Source organism: Homo sapiens, chromosome 4 (assembly GCF_000001405.40).
Source record: "Homo sapiens chromosome 4, GRCh38.p14 Primary Assembly".
Taxonomy (NCBI): domain Eukaryota; kingdom Metazoa; phylum Chordata; class Mammalia; order Primates; family Hominidae; genus Homo; species Homo sapiens.
Genome location: NC_000004.12, coordinates 118,249,913 through 118,271,138, shown reverse-complemented (window position 1 = coordinate 118,271,138; position 21,226 = coordinate 118,249,913). Strand labels below are relative to the sequence as shown.

At 36.8% G+C, this 21,226-nt stretch overlaps 1 protein-coding gene and 2 long non-coding RNA genes across 12 annotated transcripts in view; 1 reads left to right on the top strand and 2 right to left on the bottom strand.

Moving 5' to 3' along the window:
• Positions 1–4,367: 4,367 nt before the first annotated feature.
• LOC124900765 (uncharacterized) lies at positions 4,368–5,188 on the bottom strand. The gene is made up of 2 exons (XR_007058244.1): positions 5,157–5,188; positions 4,368–4,688 (listed from the first exon to the last, which is right to left on the bottom strand). It is a non-coding gene; the product is annotated as an uncharacterized LOC124900765 (long non-coding RNA).
• LOC105377392 (uncharacterized) lies at positions 5,106–19,692 on the top strand. The gene is made up of 3 exons (XR_939113.3): positions 5,106–5,355; positions 12,064–12,163; positions 19,452–19,692. It is a non-coding gene; the product is annotated as an uncharacterized LOC105377392 (long non-coding RNA).
• The window catches only part of NDST3 (N-deacetylase and N-sulfotransferase 3), a 225,313-nt gene continuing 216,591 nt past the window's right edge, over positions 12,505–21,226 (bottom strand). For 6 of the 10 annotated variants that reach the window (XM_017008840.3, XM_017008839.3, XM_017008844.2 and 3 more), the window contains 2 exons: positions 17,538–17,640; positions 12,505–15,541 (listed from right to left, as the gene is read on the bottom strand). In XM_017008840.3, coding sequence (XP_016864329.1) covers positions 15,344–15,541; positions 17,538–17,640 — 301 coding nt within the window. In that variant the 3' untranslated portion in view covers positions 12,505–15,343. Of the gene's footprint in view, positions 15,547–17,537; positions 17,641–21,226 lie in introns of all 10 variants that reach the window. The other 4 variants (NR_146513.2, NR_146514.2, XM_006714416.4 and 1 more) reach the window with 1 other exon arrangement.

Sequence of the window (21,226 nt, the reverse complement as noted above, 5' to 3'; positions counted from 1 at the left end):
GAGATTCTGCACTTATGTTTCATTAAATATTTAACATCTCAAAAGCTTGACTTTTTCTTTCTTTCGAAGATGGCTTGTGGTACTTGCTTTAGTCTATTTCCTAGTGAGGCTTTTTTTTTTTTTTTGGGCTTACTTGCCTTTATGCAAAATAAGAGTGTTATTTATTTTAACATTTAATATGGCATATTAAAAGAGAAGATCTTGTTTTGGAGTATTCATAAACTAACAATTTAAAAACATCTAATGCTTTCATCCCATATCAATTAAGATAATTTGAAAATTTAATGATCACTTGTTAAAATTCTCCTTTTTCTACACACAATATAGATTACAGATGTCTTAGGATGTCAAACATTTACTCTAGTACCCCAGCTCCAAATTACTTTGGCCCATTATCCATAAGCATTATAAATATCTGTATTAGTGGGAAGATAAGCTTACGTTTATGTAAAACTTGATGGAACGAAACAAAATCACATGAAACAACAGTTTTTATGTGGCCACTAGATGGCTCTGTTACACTATTATTTAGGTATATGTTTAAATCCCTTTGAATTTGTTACCTTATTATTTAGGTATGTGTTTAAAGCCCTTTGAATTAAATACATTTGTTCATTGTGCATGCATGTATTAATGTATATGTGGATAATAACATGAAAATGTCAGCATATCTAGTATCTCTAAAAGCCTATCCTCTGGACTCTAGTTTTATATGATGAATGTCTACAGTGAATATTGAAAACTTCAGGTTCTACCAGAAAGGAACAACTTTCTCCAGATGCATATTCTAAACATACCATTGGAATACACCAGACCTTTTTAATATGTGAACTTGATATACAGATTTTTAACATACTGAATTCATCAATTAGAGATTTAATTCATTTCCTACTGTCTGAAGTAGTTAATACACTGTTAATGTGTTGTATATCAAACTAGACAATGATTCTGTTGGAGAAATAAAATATTTCTGCCCAGTCTACTGGAGGGCAAGAATGTAGTCATATTCATCTTACCTGCAGTAGTACTTTGGAACATGCTCAATGAAACGTTTGTTGAATGAGGAAGCCAGGATGATAAAAGTGAAAAAGAATTCTGGGAAATTATACATAATGTACAGAAGGAAAAATGAATGCAGGGTAGTACATTTAAGCAAAACTGGCAAACTTTTTTGAATGTAGCTTAGTATATTACGGCAAAGTCGACTAACTCTTTTGGCCTCAGGCACATCTTACCTCTCTCTTTGCCAAAAAGTTTAAATTAAGTCTCCCCGCTGCAATAGGACTATATTTCAAATTTTATAATGGAAATCATTTCAGAGAGAAAAATTCTATGGCAAACTTTGAAACTAATTCCTATTAGTTAGTATTTATAACTGGAATAGGTCTTCACTGTCTCTACCAAAAAATACAAAAATTAGCCAGGCGTGGTGGCAGGTGCCTGTAATCCCAGCTACTCAGGAGGCTGAGTCACGAGAATCACTTGAACCTGGGAGGTGGAGGTTGCAGTGAGCCGAGATTGTGCCACTGCACTGCAGCCTGGGTGACAGAGTGAGACTGCATCTCCAAAAAAATAGAAAATCAAAAACGTAAAATAAAAGACTTCAGATGCTATATAAGAATAAATCCAATTTAAGTTAAATGATGAGAGCACATAGACACATAGAGAAGAACAGTACACACTGGGCCTACCTGAGGGCGGAGGGTGGGAGGAGAGAGAGGATCAGGAAAAATTACTATTGGGTAGTAGGCTTAGTACCTGGGTGATGAAATAATCTGTACAACAAACTCCCATGAAACACATTTACCTTTGTAACAAACCTGCACATCTTGCACATATACCCCTGAATTTAACATAAAAGTTTTTTTAAAAAAACATGCTATGGCTGATACATGCTATAGATGAAACTCAGAACCATGTCACTAAGTGAAAAGAGGCCAGACACAAAAGACTACATACTGTATGAATCTATTGATATGAAATGTTCAAAAAAGGCAAATTTACAGTGACAGAAAACAGATCAATGGTTGACTGGGGCTGGGTTGGGGGCAGGGCTTATCTTCAAATGGGCATGAGGAACCCCGTCTATCAGCCTTCTATCTGGGTGTCAGAGATCTTCTGACATCAGATCGCCATGATGGCTATTCAATTCCATTAATGACTCAGCAGTTATGAGATGTACACTTCACCTGGGTGAGTTTTACAGTAGCTAATCATACACCCTCAAAAGGTCTATTTAAAAAGTCATAAATGAATAGATTAATTTCCACCTTCCTGGACAGTGCTCAACCAGCCTTTCCATATTCACTCTTTAAAGTTCACTCTGTCACCGTGTATTCTACCTGTAACCTGTTTCTGGATTCTGCATGCTAACATTGCGTTGAGAATTGTGCCTCTTTATTCAGGAATATGATTGGTCTATAGATTTGTTTTCTGCCATCTTTGTAAAATTTCAAACAAAAAGTTTAAAATAAATGTCATACTTACACTATAGAGAGAAAAATAAATATATTTCATCTCCAAATGAACAATCATTAAAAAAACCTTCAACTGAATATGTAAGACGTGTTAGTAGTTATTTCTTAATTATATAAGTAAAACTATAGAAAACTAAGTAGAATAGAACCAGATAAGTGACTTTTGTATTTCTCTAATTTAAAACCCTTTTATCAGGATGATAATTTATGTAAATGGGCAGTATTTCTTAGAAAACAGAAGGTCTAGAAAGAAATCTCTGCAATTGAGGACTTAAATTTGATAAAAGCCATACGAATTTTGAAATACCCACCATTCTTTATAGCACTGAACAGAACTTACTGAAAAGGACTAAGAAAGTAAATTATATAAAATAACACAAAAGGGTTCTGAAAATAATTATTTACAGTATCTTTTTTTTTTTTTTGAGAGTCTTGTTCTGACGCTCAGGCTGGAGTGCAGTGGCAGATTTCGGCTTACTGCAACCTCCGTCTCCAGAGTTCAAGTGATTCTCCTGCCCCAGCCTCCCAAGTAGCTGGGATTACAGGCGTACGCCACCACGCCTGGCTAATTTTTGTACTTTTAGTAGAGACGGGATTTCGCCATGTTGGATAGGCTGGTCTCCAACTCCTGACTTCAGGTGATCTGCTCACCTCAGCCTTCCAAAGTGCTGGGATTACAGGTGTGAGCCACTGCACCTGACTACAATTATTTACAGTCTCTAAGGGAGATAGTAGTAATGGTGATAACTAATGTTTATTGAGTACTTATGTGCTCATTAACTCATTTAATCCTAACAATTGTATGAGCGCTATACAATTATTGTCTCTAATTTACAGATGAATAGATTGAGGCACAGAGAAATAATGTAATTAACCTAAGGTTTGAAGTGGATTTGAATGTAGTCTCACTGGCTCAGAGCCCATGCTCTTAACTGGTGTTGTGTGTAAAGGGAGAAAAATGATACTAGGTATAAAATAAGTCTGAGCTTTGCTACTTGTGTGACCTTGGGAAAATTATCTATCCATTCCAAACCTGTTTCCTCATCTGTAGAAGGAAACCAGCAGTATCTTCCTTTTGGTATTATTGTTAGGATAACTTATAAGAATTATCTGGTAATTATCATTTAAAAGTTAGAGGTTTTGTTTTTTTGTCCTACATTTAATAATTATTTTGCTAATTTTAATTATTATTTAAAATTGAATTTATTTTTTGTTATTTAGAAGACAGTTTTAAGTCTTTGTATGATTGGGGAAATATATATTTTTGTTAATCGAATTTATTGATTTTTATGAAAAGTTATACTTTTTTCTAGCACTTAAATATAAGAACATATGTATGTTAAAACTGTCATGTCTTTTCCAGTTACTTATTGTGAAATTAATTCAACAAGTATTTATTGAGCACTTATTATTTCAGAGACTAGACCCATCGATGTGGGGATATATTGATGAAAGAAAAGACAAATAGTTTGCTTTCGAGAAGCTTATTCAAGTAGGAGAAGACAAAAGATCTAATAAAATTGGTAAACTACAGAATTAGTTATAAGATTTTAAGTGCTATGGTTCAAAAAAGATTAGTTCGGAGTAATAGGAATCAGGAGTCAGGGAAGGGAGGAAGGGGTGAAATTTTATGTAAGGTTGTCAGGGTAGGCCTTATTGAGAAAATGACATCTGAGCAAAGACTGAACTACAGTGTAGAAGTTAGCCACGTTGATATTTGTGGGCATGTTAACATGAATGTCTTAAATAAGATAGTCAGCAAGGGAGCCAGTGCAACTGTTGCAGAATGAGAGTTTGAAAAGAGGAGCTGCGGTTAGAAAGGTGATGAATACCACATCATGTAAGGCCTTGCAGGCCACTATAAGGACCGTAGCATAAAAAGTAGAGCTATTGCAGGAATTAAAGTGCTTTGATTTAATTTGTAAAAGGATTATGTCCGGACTTGGTGGGTTCTTGGTCTCACTGACTTCAAGAACAAAGCCACGGACCCTCCCGGTGGGTGTTACAGTTCTTAAAGGCAGCGTGTGCAGAGTTTGTTCCTTCTGATGTTCGGATGTGTTCGGAGTTTCTTCCTGGTCTCGCAGCTTGTTTTTTCCTTCTGGTGGGTTCGTGGTCTTGCTGGTTTCAGGAGTGAAGCTGCAGACCTTCATGGTGAGAGTTACAGCTCATAAACACAGTGTGGACTCAAAGAGTGAGCAGCAGTAAGAGTAACTGCAAAGAGCAAAAGAACAAAGCTTCCACAGCGTGGAAGAAGACCCAAACAAGCAGGCTGCCACTGCTGGCTAGGGCAGTCTGCTTTTATTCCCTTATCTGGCCCCACTCACATCCTGCTGATCGGTCCATTTTACAGAGAGCTGATTGGTCCGTTTTGACAGGGTGCTGACTGGTGCGTTTACAATCCTTGAGCTAGACACAAAAGTTCTCCAAGTCCCTACTAGATTAGCTAGACACAGAGCACTGATTGGTGCATTTACAAACCTTGAGCTAGACACAGGGTGCTGATTGGTGTGTTTACAAACCTTGAGCTAGACACAGGGTGCTGATTGGTGTGTTTACAAACCTTGAGCTAGACACAGGGCGCTGATTGGTGTATTTACAATCCCTTAGCTAGACAGAAAGGTTCTCCAAGTCCCCACTAGACTCAGGAGTCCAGCTGACTTCACCCAGTGGATCCTGTACCTGGACCGCAGGTGGAGCTGCCCGCCAGTCCCGCGTAGTGCGCCCGTACTCCTCAGCCCTTGGGCGGTCGATGGGACTGGGCGCGGTGGAGCAGGGGGCGGCGCTCGTTGGGGAGGCTCCCGCCGCGCAGGAGCCCAGGTGGGGGGAGGCGCAGGCATGGGTGGCTGCAGGTCCCGAGCCCTGCCCCGCGGAGAGGCAGGTAAGGCCAAGCAAGAAATCGAGCGCAGCGCTGGTGGGCCGGCACTGCTGGGGGACCCGGCGCACCCTCCGCAGCTGCTGGCCCAGGTGCTAAGCCCCTCAATGCCCGGGGCCGGCGGGGCCGGCTGGCTGGCCAAGCCGCTCCGAGTGCGGTGCCCGCGGAGCCCACGCCCACCCGGAACTCGCGCTGGCGCGCAAGCGCCGCGCGCAGGCCAGGTTCCCGCCCGCGCCTCTCCCTCCACATCTCCCGGCAAGCTGAGGGAGCCGGCTCCGGCCTCAGCCAGCCCGGAAAGGGGCTTCCACAGTGCAGCGGCAGGCTGAAAGGCTCCTCAGCGCGGCCAGAATGGGCGCCGAGGCTGAGGAGGCGCCGAAAGCGAGTGAGGGCTGTGAGGGCTGCCAGCGTGCTGTCACCTCTCAGGATTACCCTGGATGTTGGGTTAATAGCGGATTGTAGTACAGATACCTGGAAGTAGGGAGGATAACCAGGATAAAGATTATGGCATCTTTTTTTTTTTTTTGAGACACAGTTTTGCTCTGTCGCCATGTTGGAGTGCAGTGGCGCGATCTTGACTCACTGCAACTTCCGCCTCCTGGGTTCAAGTGAGTCCCCTGCCTCAGCCTCCTGAGTAGCTGGGACTACAGGTGTGTGTCACCACACCCGGCTAATTTTTTATTTTGAATTTTAGTAGAGATGGGCTTTCACCATGTTGGCCAGGATGGTCTCAATCTCCTGACGTTGTGATCCACTCGCCTTGGCCTCCCAAAGAGCTGGGATTACAGGCGTGAGCCACCGCGCCCAGCTGATTATGGCATCTTAGAATGAGGTGGCAGCCCTGGATTTGGTGAGAAGTGGTTGGTTTTGGATAGAAGTGAAGATTGAGCCAACAGGATTTCTTGACAGATCAAATGTGGGGTTTGCTAACCAAGGGATTCACTATCCTATAGTATTCACAGTTCTTGCCTACACTCAAGGAGATAGGATCATATAAAGGCATCATCACTCTTAGAGTGTGTCTACCACAAGAATGGAATAGGTTTTTTGGAGGAAGATGGTAATCCACAGATGAACCTCACCTGCAGACTCAACCCTGACTACATCACTGTGTGTACACTGGATCATCTTAACTGAGGCAGAGCCTATCACTAACCTCAAACCCTAGCTGAGTGCCCTTTTTCCCTGAGTATCCATTGTTGCTAATTGGACCTGAAATGTAATGCTTATGTAGTGCGTAAAAATTCCATAATTCACAACCTGTCCAAAATAGAGCTTTCTTTAGTTTTTAATAATTGTCCCCATTCAAGATATGATTTTTAAATATCTTTTAGGAAAACCCAGTCAAAGTCAAGATTGTTCTCTCCATTTCTTCCAAAGGTGGTCATGGCAGTGGACATGAAGTGGTAGGGTAACATCTGTTCTCAGCCATCATCTCTCCTCTGCTGGCATTGGATGAACCTCAACAGGTTCAGTCTTTGTAAAGTGATCTCTAGATTCCACGGTCTAGGCTCCTTTCATGGCCCGTAGTCATCAATCTGTGCAGGTTATTCAATGCCGTCTTTGTCCCAGCTGCCAGGTCCCTTTGGATTTAAAAGGCTTTTCTTGGTGATTCCTGCAGCTTATCTGGAGAAATGGAACTTTTATGTGTTCTCCTGTGCCACTGTGGAGCTTGTGCAAACCTGTGTATTTATACCTAGGATACCATGAGCTATCTCTACTGCTTGGAGGGAGGGCCTTCACCATTGGTGGGCAGAGTACACGGAGGAGGTTGCTGCTTTGCAGAGTTTTAAATGGAAAGTAGGGCACAGCTTTCTCTACTGTTTGATCCTCAGACTTAAAGATCTCTCATCCTCCATTTTTAGGGCTCAGCTTGGTGTCAAGGAGGAAGGCAGGGGGAGAAGAAACCCAAACTTGAATTTACCTCTCTTTTCCTTTTTGCAGTATTCCTTCATCTCTAGCCAGGCAACTCCATTCTGGGAGTAGAGTGGGAAGGTGGTGGAGAGGAGGTGTAGTCTGGCTTCCCACTTATTTTCTTTCTAGCCTATTGTTGATGGTGTAAATCTTGGCTTTAGGTACTTAAGTTACTTCCAACTCCCGTGCCAATGGCTCTCATACTTTTTAGTCTGGGGATCCTTTTACATTCTTAAACATTGTTGAGAACCCCAAAGGGCTTTTGTTTATAAAACAAAAGCATTATATTTATCAATATTATAGATAAATTTATCAATATTATAGATAACTCTATATAGATAATATAGAGTTATAGTTTTTAATATTTAATTTATTAGAAATTAAAATGGAGAAATCAAAAAACATTAAAAAATAACAAGAACAAACCCATAATAAAGCTATAGTTTTAAAGAAAAAATAGCTATGTTTCCCAAAACAAAAGAAAATGAGAAGAATGGCATTGTGTTACATTTTGGTAAATTTCTTTAATGTTTGGCTTAATAGAGATTGGATTCTCCTATCTATTTCTGCATTCAATTTATTTTGATAGGTTGTTTTGTTGAAGTATATGAAGAAAATCTGGCCTCATACCCTTATGTGTATGGGAAAGGAAAGTATATATTTATATACCCATATGTGGGAAAAGAAAGTATATATTTATAGCCTTTTCAGATAATTGTGGATATTTTTCTTTGATACTACATTCAAAATTGACAAGTGCTATTGTCTTAAAGGATATTTTTGCAATGTGGAATCTGAAATAAATCAATGAACTGTTCATACTGTGCTACATTAAAATCTACTGGTTTATCTTACTCTGAGAATAGACCTTTCACTATTATAACGATTATGCTATGTATATGTATACTGTATACTATGTATATGTGTTTTGTGACCTCATGCATTGCTTTTTTGGAAAATGGTTTACTGAGTTATGCTGATCTTTCAAACATTGACACCTTTCATTATATAATGTTAGAAAATTACGTTTTTTAATATCACCACCAATCTCATCAGAAAGATCTTTAAATATGAGTATGCTGTGAAGCTCATGGTAGCAATACAAGTTGTACAAAATTCTAATTTTTACTTGAAAGCTGAAATTTTATAATTGGCAAGAAATACTGTCAATTGTTTTTTGTTGAAGTGAGAGGCTCACTTCGTTCAGTTTTAAGAAAACATTTGCCAATTGCTCAAGTCTGAATAACCATAATTCTCTGTCATTCTTTCAAGTAAAAAGGATGTTCCATGAATAAAGTGGCTAGTTCCACTTGCAACTCAAACAGCTGCTCAAGGGCTTTTTTTTCAAGACAACCACCTACTTCAGTATGTAGCAGACATGCTTCAGGCACACTTCACATTTTGTCACACGGAAGATTAAAAAGCATATACTGTAGTGTGGAAATGTAATAATATCAATAATTTTACTGCTTTGTCAAATCATAAGTGACACTGTTTTAAAAAATGAGTGTGTGATGATGATGAATACAATAGTACAGATTAATTCTACTGGCTTGATTTATGCTAAAGCACGAGCAGTTTTACCCATTATTGTTATTGCACCATTAGTATCAATATCAACACAATGACGAAGGCATATAATGAATTCACATTATTATAAAAATCGTTTTGACCTTGCAGACCCCCTGAAGAGGACTGAGGTCTGCTCAAGATCCACAGGATATATTTTGAAACTCTTGTACTGTAGTGCTGACACTACACTATAGCAGAGGTCCTGTTTATTAGTTAATCTCTTGGATAATATCCAGTATCTGATGCTGCTTAGATTTCTTGCTTCTGTGGTCCTCCTTCTGGACACAGTTTGTCCTGAATATTTACAGTCTTGATCTTTAAAATGACAAATTATTGTTGTTATACAAGTACAGCAATTAATGCATTTGGAAATAAAAATTTAAATACTTTTCCCAGGTCCAGCACTCTAGTCCCAGTTATCAAAGGCAACTTGCTTTTACCATTTGTTTAAGCTCTGCTGATTATCTTCATAATTCCAATTACGCTTTTACCTTTGTTAATTTTTCAACTTTAAGCAGTATCTGTTGGCTCCCCACATGAGGGGGAGACATTTAGCTCATTTATATTACTGTTTCTCACATTCTTGCTTATCTTCCTAATTTTTGAGCATGTATTTATGTTTTTATTTTTGTTTTTAGCTCTTCTTTTGGTTTTGTTTGTGGCTTTAAATAAACGTCAGTGTCTGCTAAACTTAACACAGGCCAAGAGGACCAGGGTGGCTCATCTTTGCAGGTAGATCCCAAAGAGAAGTGAGGGAGATAGGTTGAGCTATTCAAGCGGAATTTCTGCTTCCAGTTTTACCACTTAGATAATTCATTGGTTCCTCCTCTATGGGAGAGTAGATCAGAGACAGAATCACATGTTACAATAATTGATCTACTGGAACATGTTAAACAAAGCAGGGAGAAAAGCATTCCCCCTCCTTACCAATCATCACATGTGACTTCCATTGACAGATGTGTAAATTGAGATCAGAAAAGTCACCTACCCAATGTTACTTAGTAAAGAACAAATGTTCAATTATAGTCCAATCTATCTTTTTTGCTATTCTGATTGCACTGAGGACATCCCTGTAATTAACTGGGAATGAAAACAGTATGGTTTTCTCAGGATGATCACAAGTGGGAGGGAGAATTTATCAATATTATATTTTCATAGCTTTTTATTGTTTTTAAAATTATAATCTTTAAATTATTAAAAATTTGTCAATTTATTCATTTATATGTGAAGCAAGCTTTATTTTTGATAGTATATTTGTTTTGTGGGCTTTTAAAAGTTTTGTTTGCTTTGAAGGATTTACAGTAAGTTCTGAAATGATACACTAAAGCACTAGGAGTATATAGCATGTTGAGCTTGCATTTCTGTTTAATGTTGAAATTGAAAAAAATTTAGATTCAGAATATTATTTATCAAATAGAGAAGGCTCATTTTCTTTGGTCCAACTTTATAAATTATGTATAATATTTAAGAGCAAGGTCTGGTTTCCATTTCAGTTATTGATTTGAAATAGAGCATTTTGGCATCAGAAATGTAGACAGCAGGCATTTCCTACACTTAATGTATTCCCTCAAAACCAAGAAGCAGCTTAATGTAGACAGTTTTGTAAGATTTGTCACAGATTCTGGGTGCTTTCGAACTATCTCACATTTTATTCAGTGTAATTCACTTTTCTGTATGGTAAAATGTGGGCAAATACATTCTTTCTAACAATATCTTGGAGACCTTATGCTGTGAGCATTTAATTTGTAAAATGTGGTTTGACTTCCTTGAAAGGGATTGCTAAGTAAATGTGATGATTAATTTTATGTGTCAACTTTGACTGGGTCACAGGGTACCTAGATAGTTGGTGAAACATTATTTCTGGGTGTGGCTATGATGGTGTTTCTGGATAAGATTAGCATTTCAATTGGTAGACTGAGTTAAGCAGATTACCCTCCCCAGTGTTGTTGGGCATCATGCGATCCATTAAGGGCATGAATAGAATGAGAAGGTGGAAGAAGGTCCAGTTAACTGCCTGGCCGCTTGAGCTGAACATTGAACTTCTTCTGTCCTCAGTGCTCCTGGTTTTTAGGCCTTCAAACCCAGACTGCAACATTATTGGCTCTCTGGCTCTTAAGCTTTTGAACTACACCTCTGGCTTTCCTGGGTCTCCAACTTGCAGATGACAGATCATGGGCCTTTGCATCCTCTAAAATCATTTAAGCCAATACCTTATAATGAGTCTTTATATACTTATGTATGTGTGTGTGTATATATATATATATATATGCTTATATGTGTGTATATATGTGCTTATATATATATATATATATGTATATGTATCTGCCCCTAGTTCTATTTCTCTGGAGAGCTCTGACTATAGTATAGTAAAAGAGATACTTGACTTGACTCTGGCAAGTGAATGTCTTTTTTAACTTACTGATACTATTCATGATTCCTCTTTCTCTAAGAGATGCTCCAGAGGAAATGGTGAGCATATAACTAATTCCAACTTTAGTGATTTATTAATTTTTGTATTTATAACTTTTGGAAATAGACTGAGAAGTGATAGATACTTAAAGATGAGGATAGTTACAGGATTAATGGAAGGAGGTTCAACTTATTTATTAGTTTCAGTACTAACAGATAAATGAATAAATTTTACGCTGTAACATTTATTAAGGGCACTGAGTATATAGAGAACTTTTATAGATAACAAATTAGGGACAATAAATGGCAAGAACTGGTAGCAGCACTGGTTTGGGGACAAGTGGCCCTCAAATTTTGTTAGGTATCCTTGGCCATAGGTGAAAGGCTTACTCAAAGTAGATTGCAGATTTTTGGGGGGATGGAATCTAAGTGAAACTGTGTGTCTTAGAGTTCTCCAAAAAAGCCGAATTAATAAGGCTGAGAAGTCTCATAATCTGCTGTGCAAGTTGGAGACTGGGTGGTTAACGGTGTAATCCAATCTGAGACTGAAAGCCTGAGGAACAGGGAAGCCAATGCTGTAAATCACAGTCTGAAGGCAGAAGATGAGATGAGATGTCCCAGCTCAATCAGTGAGCTGTGTGTGTGGGAGGCAAGCCTGTGGGGTATTCAGCTGGTGCCCCGAGATAGGGTGGGTTGCAACATGTGAAAAGCTGATGTCTAGAAAAGAAAGGGATTGGAAGAGAGAAAAGAAAATGTGTGGAGAATGAAGATAAATGGCTAAATTTAAACTCCCCGAATCCCCCCTCCCTCCTTTTTTTGCAGAGATTGTTTTGCCAGATTTTTAGAAAAGAGAGATGAACACCTTTTAAACTCTGAGGAAAGAAATGGGCTCATTGGTATGGAGCAGAACAGAATACTAGGGGTAAGAAATGCTATAATCATTCCTGTTCTGAAGTCCATTTAGTAACAGCTGTGTGATTCTCTTATTCTCTTATTCTAGGGTCCCATAAATGACCTAGAAACTGCATTATATTTATTAGAACTAAAAAAAAATTCACTACAAGTAACATATAAATTTAGGAGGAGAAGGATCTGTGAAAGGTTTTATAAATATAGGATAGATATATATCCTACTTGAAAATTTTCTATCTCTTCATTTTGAATTATGTTAGTAGTATCTATGTTCCGTAACCACCTCCCACTCACTCCCAGGCCAAAACAATAAAATACCTACTGTTACCTAAAATCACCAGGTCCAAACTCTTCATTTTCCTATCAGTTTATTGTTGTACATATGAGGTACCATGCTACTATCAGAATTATATCTAGGTTTTTTATTTTAAAAAACTCAGAGAAAAAAATGTTTCCAGTAATTTTCATTCAATGTGAATGACAAGAATATTACAGCTATAAACATTGAAATAACCATTTCATTTCTTCCTGAGGAAGTTTCATATTTTAAACAATGAAAAAGGGAATTCTATACAAAGCTAGTTTTAAATCAGATTATCTCTCATTATTCTCTCATATGTATTTATGTTACTTTCAGATTAGCATATTAACCAGTTGGAGTATATAATGTGGAAAGTATGCATGTCCTCTAGAATTTGATGCTGTCTTCAAGACACATTGAGTGGTCAAAAATCCTTTCACAGGTTTGCTGCTCTAGCTAGCGTAATACATGTACTTGTGAATGAATAAATTTTGGTAAGATCTCTTCCTTTTTCTCCTGTCTTTATACAAACACGGAGTATGTTTTTGACATCTATTTAAAAGGATGAAGTGTTCAGTCAACTCGATTTACCTAAACAAAATAGGCCATTAGCAGCTTTGCTTAGCAGTTCAAATGTACATCTTACCATTAAAGCATAAATGTATCAGTTTTTCTTTTCTTTTTTTATTAGAATAAATGTTGTTGCCAAATGAAAACATGACACTGTATATAACTGCTGAGGCCTATTCTCATGTTTAACCTTCCTAAGCCAGTTTTCTTAAGTTGGTGGAGATGGAAGACTATAGTAATTTTCCTAGCATGTCTGGCATCTGCTGCTATAAAAGAGACAGCAGTAAGCATGAAGACTGTGTTTCCCATATTTGTCCAAATCACTTTGATTTTGCTTTTAGAGTCAAGAGTCTTAAAAATTGGTGATTTTTCCAATTTTTTCTGCTAATAGTATATTTAAAAATTAGCATATGCTTTAGGTACATGAAACTTTAAAAAAGTAATTATAATGTACAGTTAAAAATTTATAGTAAGTGGATCTCACAATTCATTTTCTAATTAGTAATTGATAGTTTTACCCATTAAAATGACAATGAAAATATTTTTACTATGGGTTTTCCTCCCATTTGTTTCTAATCATACCTTTGATAATATTTTATAAAGGCTTATAATCATAGCAGGGAATTAATTTACTACTTAAATTTTATGTATATGTACAGTACATTTAAAAATTAAGTAGTCAGGGCATGGTGGCTCACGCTTGTAATCTCAGCACTTTGAGAGGCCAAGGTGGGTGGATCATGAGGTCAGGAGTTCAAGATCAGCCTAGTCAACATGGTGAAACCCTGTCACTACTAAAAATACAAAAATTACCCGGGCGTGGTGGTGCATGGCTGTAATCCCAGCTCCTCAGGAGGCTGAGGCAGGAGAATCACTTGAACCCAGGAGGCGGAGGTTGCAGTGAGCTGAGATCACACCATTGCACTCCAGCCTGGGTGACATAGTGAGACTCTGTCCCCCTCTCAAAAAAAAAAATTAAGTAAATATTAACAGGAAAATAAGTATGATGTATTCTTTTCTTTTTTGGAAACTTTATTAACCATATATATTATTTACAATTGAAATGTAAATATATTTCAAGAGCATGACTTGCTCATCTTTGTACTTCCTGCATTTAATTTAGTAGCTAATCCTTAATTGTACCTATGATCTGTTACTTCCACCAGAGTGATGGGTGAAATATTTTCAAAAATGGGCCTCTGCTCTGCTTATGTTTCTTTGCCTTATATCAAAAGTATCATTGCAAACATTAGATTACAAATAATATATTAATTTGTTTTTTGTTATAAATCTCTACTACATTACATAATTTTATTTTGAACTATCTGGGAAAATGCAATTTTTTAATAACCTAAATGTAAATAGCCTAACCACATCATCTAGGGAAACTGTTTTTAGTTTTAGTTTAATAGGTTTTGTTTTGGGGAGCATTAAAAATAGCTATTCACATTTAAAAGTCAACCTGTTTCTGGAGATGACACATACCTCAGACTCTAGGCATGCATTTCTGTAGAACTAGTGAGGACTACTGGGATAGATTCACAGCTTACAGCAAGTGGACATAGAATTCTCGATGATATGTTTTTAGACCCCTACAATTTCTCCCTTTTAGAGGATTCAGTCAGTACACTTTACATTGTTATTTACTGTTTTGGTGTACTTGATGTGTTTCTATTTACCATCCAACAGCTTTACAGTATATATTTCAGTATAACAATTACGTTGTGATGGAAGAGTTAGTAATTTTTACATATATTCACTAGACTATGTATATGAAAAAATCACTTTTGCTATAGCACTTATTTTTTTTTGGTGCAGATAACACTCATATATAACTTTTCCACTCTGATCTAGCACAAATTATAATTTACAATTATTTCTAAATACTTAAGTGGATTTAAATTTTGGCAAGCATTTTTCATGGGTGTTATGCTTTTGACATTTTATGCTACATTGTGATGTTTATTTTGCTTCTTGTTTCATAGGACACTTTATAGAATAAAATAATAAGAAAACATCGTACAGGCAAACAGTGGTCTAAAAACCTACAGAGACACAATCTTAGTTGATATATAAAAGTGTAAATATTACTATGAAATGGAACAGTTCTGCATTTGTGTTTGATATTTATGTTGGTTGCAATTGACTTCCACATGAGTGCACAGTAGTCTACAATAATCCCACAGGCTCAGATATGGGTTAAGAGAAAGGCCACAGGCCTCAAGGCTTGTAACACATACTTTTTCTTTTTTTCTAATCATCCACGTGCCAGCACATGGAAGAAACTGTTCTTTTTTCTCATTTGAAGAGGTATATTTTTCAACTGCCTTTTGGTAGCTTCTGGAAGCTTTGGAAAAGGTGTGTTCTACATGGACGATGAAGTCTCAAGTTTTCTCTCAGTGCTATCTTACTTTCTGCAGCTCCTGTCTCAGCCAGGATGGCAGAGGCTGACCCAGTTTGTGCAGCAGCTTTGAGAGTTCCACGTTGTGATCTCGATAGTAGCTTGACAGAAATGTCCTGCTCTAAGTGGAGAGGAGGAGAGAAAAGTACATTTTATTTTGTTTATTACATTTCATACACTTTGACTACGTTGAAATAAGTACCAAGTATACCAGATCTGGATTAAAATTTGTATTAAGCATATGGACTATTTATTTAGCACATGCTATGATATTTTACTGACAGTCTTGGGTACTGGCATTTTTCTTACTAGGAAGAGGCAAAAGGTGTGGTGACAGTACTGCCCACTCTAATCCCTCCTACACATTTGTATTTTCATTACCTCTGTGAAGACCTCTTTACTCTTACCTGCTTTGTGGACATTATTTTCACAAAATCAGCCACTCCCTTAAATAAACCCAATATGGATTACTCAGTAACCTTGTTGAGAAGGAAGGATATCCTGAAAAGTTGTGTTTTTCTTATCTTTCTCTACCTCCAAATTTAATAAGGTCTGTGTTAGACCAGAGTAAAACAAAATGCTAAGAAAGATATTCTGCAGTGTCTCTTAAACATTTTAGCTTTAATAAATTTACGGGGAAATAGCTTTGACATAAATGCATATGATATATTTTATATTACTTTCTTGAAATACTATAGAAATTGTATGTCAATTTCTTTTGGGAAAAGAAGGGTTGTTTTCAAAGTGCTCTGAAGGTATATTTTAATCAGCCACAGAAAATTGGAGTTCTGAAAATGCAGTTTGTTTATCAAAATAACAGAAACTCTCTCTCTCTTCCGTATATGATTTAATTATGAGTTTATTGAGGACAGACCCTGCATCTATCAGGCAAGGCACAAAAAGTAGTCCTCAAGGTTTTGTTAAAGTATTCTAATAAGTTTAGCCCACCTTAGGATCCTCAGACCATCTTAGGGTTCTCAGTTAATGTAATGTATTAATTGTGGGGGAAAAATCCCAAATCATATTTTAATTTCTGAGATCTAAAAAAAATTTACAAATCAAAATCTACTTGCATGGTTATATTGAAACTACTAACTAGACTAATAATAAATAAAAATATTATTAGTAAATCTTAATATATGTCAAGTAAGCATTAAAGTAAAAATGTGGGGTATAGAAATGGAGAAAACTGTAGCATTAAGTGATCACCATGTCTCCATTCTGAACAGAATAAACAGGAAGTGCTGAATACATACTGCAAAGTGTGTGTCTACATTCCCCAAAGCCTAAATTATCTGCTAGTATGTTAGATGTTGGGAAATACATTGCTTCTTTCATTTTATTAGCATATTAACAGCTCAAAACTTAGTATATTATATCAGTAACTTACATTACTGCCCAGGGCACACTTACTACAACAGAATGACTCAGGCAGTCAAAAAAATAGGATTTTTTTTTTTTTTTTTTTGAGTTGGAGTTTCACTCTTGCTGCCCAGGCTGGAGCGCAATGGTGCAATCTGGGCTCACTGTGACCTCCACCTCCCAGGTTCAAGCGATCCTCCTGCCTCAGCCTCCTGAGTAGTTGGGATTACAGGTGCCTGCCACCATGCCCAGCTAATCTTTTTTTGTATTTTTAGTAGAGATGGGGTTTTATCATGTTGGCCAGGCTGGTCTCGAACTCCTGACCTCAAGTGATCCACCCACGTCGGCCTTCCAAAGTGCTGAGATTACAGGCATGAGCCGCCACACTCGGCCAAAAATAGAAATCTTGGTCCTATTTTCACTTTCCAATGGATATACTTCCTGTCTTGGTTTCAGTTAACATTTATACTAAAATTTTTGTGCAGGTATCATTCTTTTTGGAATAAGATATTATCTCTTTGTTCTTATTCAGAATGTTGAATTCTATTGTTTTCCTTTATTCTTGCATGACAGGTAATAATATATTGTGGGTAAATCAAAATAAGCAACCTACCTGTACTGAAATTGAAATGGCACTTTTAATTTTTAGAAAGGCTGAATTTTGACTTTAACTAGTTTTTTAAGAAAGTAGATGATATTATTGGTTACCATTTTGCTGATTTAGTTTGTATTTTTAAGGTCTATGCTTACATCAGAATCCATTGGAGGGTATTTTCTTCCTTTGCTCTTTCCAAGGCATTTTGTTTTACCTTCTTCCAGTAACTGACACCAGAAACCTTTATGAGAATCAAACCTAAAAAAAAAAAGAATACACACAGAAAAACCAGAAAATCATTTTTCAACCAATTTATATGATATGGTGACCAATACATATGATATAGTGACCAATACATAAATATTTTATTTGGATAACAATCTATAACCAGAGAAACTGAATTCTTTTTTACTATATTCCTTTGCATAAAGTCTTTTGGCATACTTCTAAATTCTGAGTTCATCTGTCATATTTGTGAGTTTGCCAGGTTCCTAACAGAAAAATTGTCAGCACATCTCCTATTAATAGAAATTAATAAGGCTACTTCCTTCATCTGGAAGGAAAAAATGCATAAATATTCAAATTTTTTTTTGGGTTTAAAAACAAGTCATTCTTTTTCTTTGTAGGGTTTAAAAACAAGTCAGCCTTCTTCCATGTCTATGGATTTAGATGCTACTTGTATCATACAACTAGAAGGTAATAGAAGAGAAAAGGTTTCAGTGTATCATGGAGTGATTACTTTTAGGATTCTCTAGCTATAATCCATTTAATTTTTTTCAGAGCTACTTTCTTCTTTTGGTATGAGCTCTGTATTAAAGTAATAGCACCTACAAATGAATTTTTTTCTTTTTTCTTTCTCTTTTTTGAGAAGGAGTCTTGGTCTTGTTGCCCAGGCTGGAGTGCAATGGCGCAATCTCGGCTCGCCGCAACCTCCACCTCTCGGGTTCAAGTGATTCTCCTCCCTCAGCTTCCCGAGTAGCTAGAATTACAGGCATGTGCCATCATGCGCAGCTAATTTTTGTATTTTTAGTAGAGACGGAGTTTCTCCATGTTGGTCAGGCTGGTCTCAAACTCCTGACCTCAGGTGATCCGCCTGTCTCAGCCTCCCAAAGTGCTGGGATTACAGGCGTGAGCCACTGTGCCCAGCCTAAATGAACTTTTTATGCCATAATTATAATAAATAATAATAGCACATTAAAATACACATTTTATCTTACCAAAATATTTCATATAACTCTTTCTCATTTGAGGTTTCATTCTGACACTTAAGGATATGCTGTGAAGGATTCTTCCCATTTTATAGCATTTAGCATACTGTTTGGCTCTTGTAAACATTTGCCAAGTATTAGTTGAACACAAAATGAGAAGGGAGAAAATGTTTGTCAAGGTTTATTTACCTTGTACTATACACTTCTTCAATATTCAAGTCATGACTCAAGTCTAGGCCTGCTGATTTTCGGTTTAGGGCCTTTTCTTTTTTACTGGTCTCCAAGTAGGTTTTATATTATTATTCACTGTAAATAAAGCACTAATTTGTATGCTCAGATATAAAAGTGAATGTAATAGCAATGATAATTCCTTTACATAGCTTTTGTTATTCAATAATTATATTGCCATTTTTCTTCTCAATTAGAATTATTTCAGATAACGTTTTTCTTTTGCCTTTAATCTGTTCTACTTCTAGGAATGCTACTTCCAACACTTTGCTTAAAATTATAATGTGAAAACCTGAAATATCTAGGGTGACAGTTTACAAAAAATATGTGCAATGGCTGCACACTTAAAACTACAAAACTTTGTTAAGTTTTAGAAAAAAAGGGAGCTATACCATGCTCATAAATCAGAAGACTAGATACTTTTAAAATACCAAGTCTCTCCAAATTTGTCTATAGATTCAGTATGATTCCTATCAAAACTCCAGTGGACTATATTTTAAGTAGAAACAGAAAATTATTCTAAAGTACATATAAAAATGTAAAGGAAGTAGACAAGCTAAAACAATTTGAAAACAAAGAGCAAATTTGGAGATCTCATACTATTTAATTTCAAGATTTACTCTAATTCTACAGTAATGAAGATTGTATGGTGTTGGCATCAGTGGACCAATGGATCAATGGAACAAAATGAAGAGTTCAGAAATAAATCTACACATCTACAGTCAACTGATTTTCAAAAAATGGCTGCCAAGGTAAGTCAGTGGGAAAGGATTAGTCCTTTAAATTTCACAAGAAAAATTGGATATCTATATGAAAAAGCTGAACATTGACCCTTACCTCATGTTGTATGTAAAAATTAACTTGAAATGTATTATTGAGCTAAACCTAAACTATAAAAATTTAAGCTGAAAACTTAAAAATTTATAGCTAAAATTATAAGGCCGAGGCAGGCGGATCACGAGGTCAGGAGATCAAGACCATCCTGGCTAACACAGTGAAACCCCATCTCTACTAAAAATACAAAAAATTAGCCGGGCGTGGTGGCAGGCGCCTGTAGTCCCAGCTACTTGGGAGGCTGAGGCAGGAGAATGGCGTGAACCCGGGAGGCGGAGCTTGCAGTGAGCCGAGATTGTGCCACTGCACTCCAGCCTGGGTGACAGAGCAAGACTCCGTCTCAAAAAAAAAAAAAATAAAATAAAAATAATAAATAAATAAATAAATAAATAAATAAAAAATTTATAGCTAAAATTATAAAAATTCTGAAAGAAAACATAGGGAAAAAAACCAGAAAATTTTGCAACCTTGGGTTAGGCAAAGATTTCTTAGGATGAACCATAAGGGAAAAATAATGATAATTTTGAATTTATCAAAATTTAAAATTTTGCTCTCATAAAGACACAAGAAAATGAAAAGGGAAACCACAGACTGGGAGAAAACATTTGTAAAAAATATATCTAATATAGAACTTGTATTTGGAATATATAACTCACTATAAAAGATAAAAATATCAATAAAAACTGCATAAAAGATTGGAACAGGCTGGGTGCAATGGCTGACGCCTATAATCTCAGCACTTTGGGAGGCTGAGGTGGGCGGATCAGCTGAGGTCGGGAGTTCAAGACCAGCCTGACCAACATGGAGAAACCCTGTCTCTACTAAAGATACAAAATTAGCCGGGCATGGTGCTGCATGCCTGTAATCCCAGCTACTCAGGAGGCTGAGGCAGGAGAATCACTTGAACCTGGGGGGCAGAGGTTGCGGTGAGCCGAGTTTGTGCCATTGCACTCCAGCCTGGGCAACAAGAGCAAAACTCCATCTCAAAAAAAAAAAAAAGATTGGAACAGACACTTCACCAAAGAACACATATGAATGGTCAATGAACAAATGAAAATTTGCTGAACATCATTCATCATTAAGGAAATACAAATTAAAATTACAAATGAAATAGCACTGTACACTCAGTAGAATGACTGATTTTAAAAATATCCCATGTTGGCAAAGACATGGAACAAATAGAATTGTTGGTAGAAATTAAAAATATTACAGCCTCTTTGTAAAGTTTCTTAGAAATTAAAATACATAACTACTATATGACCCACCAACCCCATTTCTAGGTTTTTACTCGAATGCAATGCAAATGTATGTCCACACAACTGTTCACAGTAGCTTTGTTCGTGATAGCCAAAAAATACAAATTACTCATGTCCATCAACTGGTGAAAGGATAAACAAATTGTGGTACATCCATAAAATGGAGTAATATATAACAATAAAAAAGAATTGACTCCTGATAGATGTAGCAACATAGAGGAAACTCAGAATCATTATGCTAAGTGAAAGAAAGTAGCTTGATGATTCCTAGGGGTCAAGGTGAGTAGAAAGTGTTGACTACAGCGGAGCATGATTAAA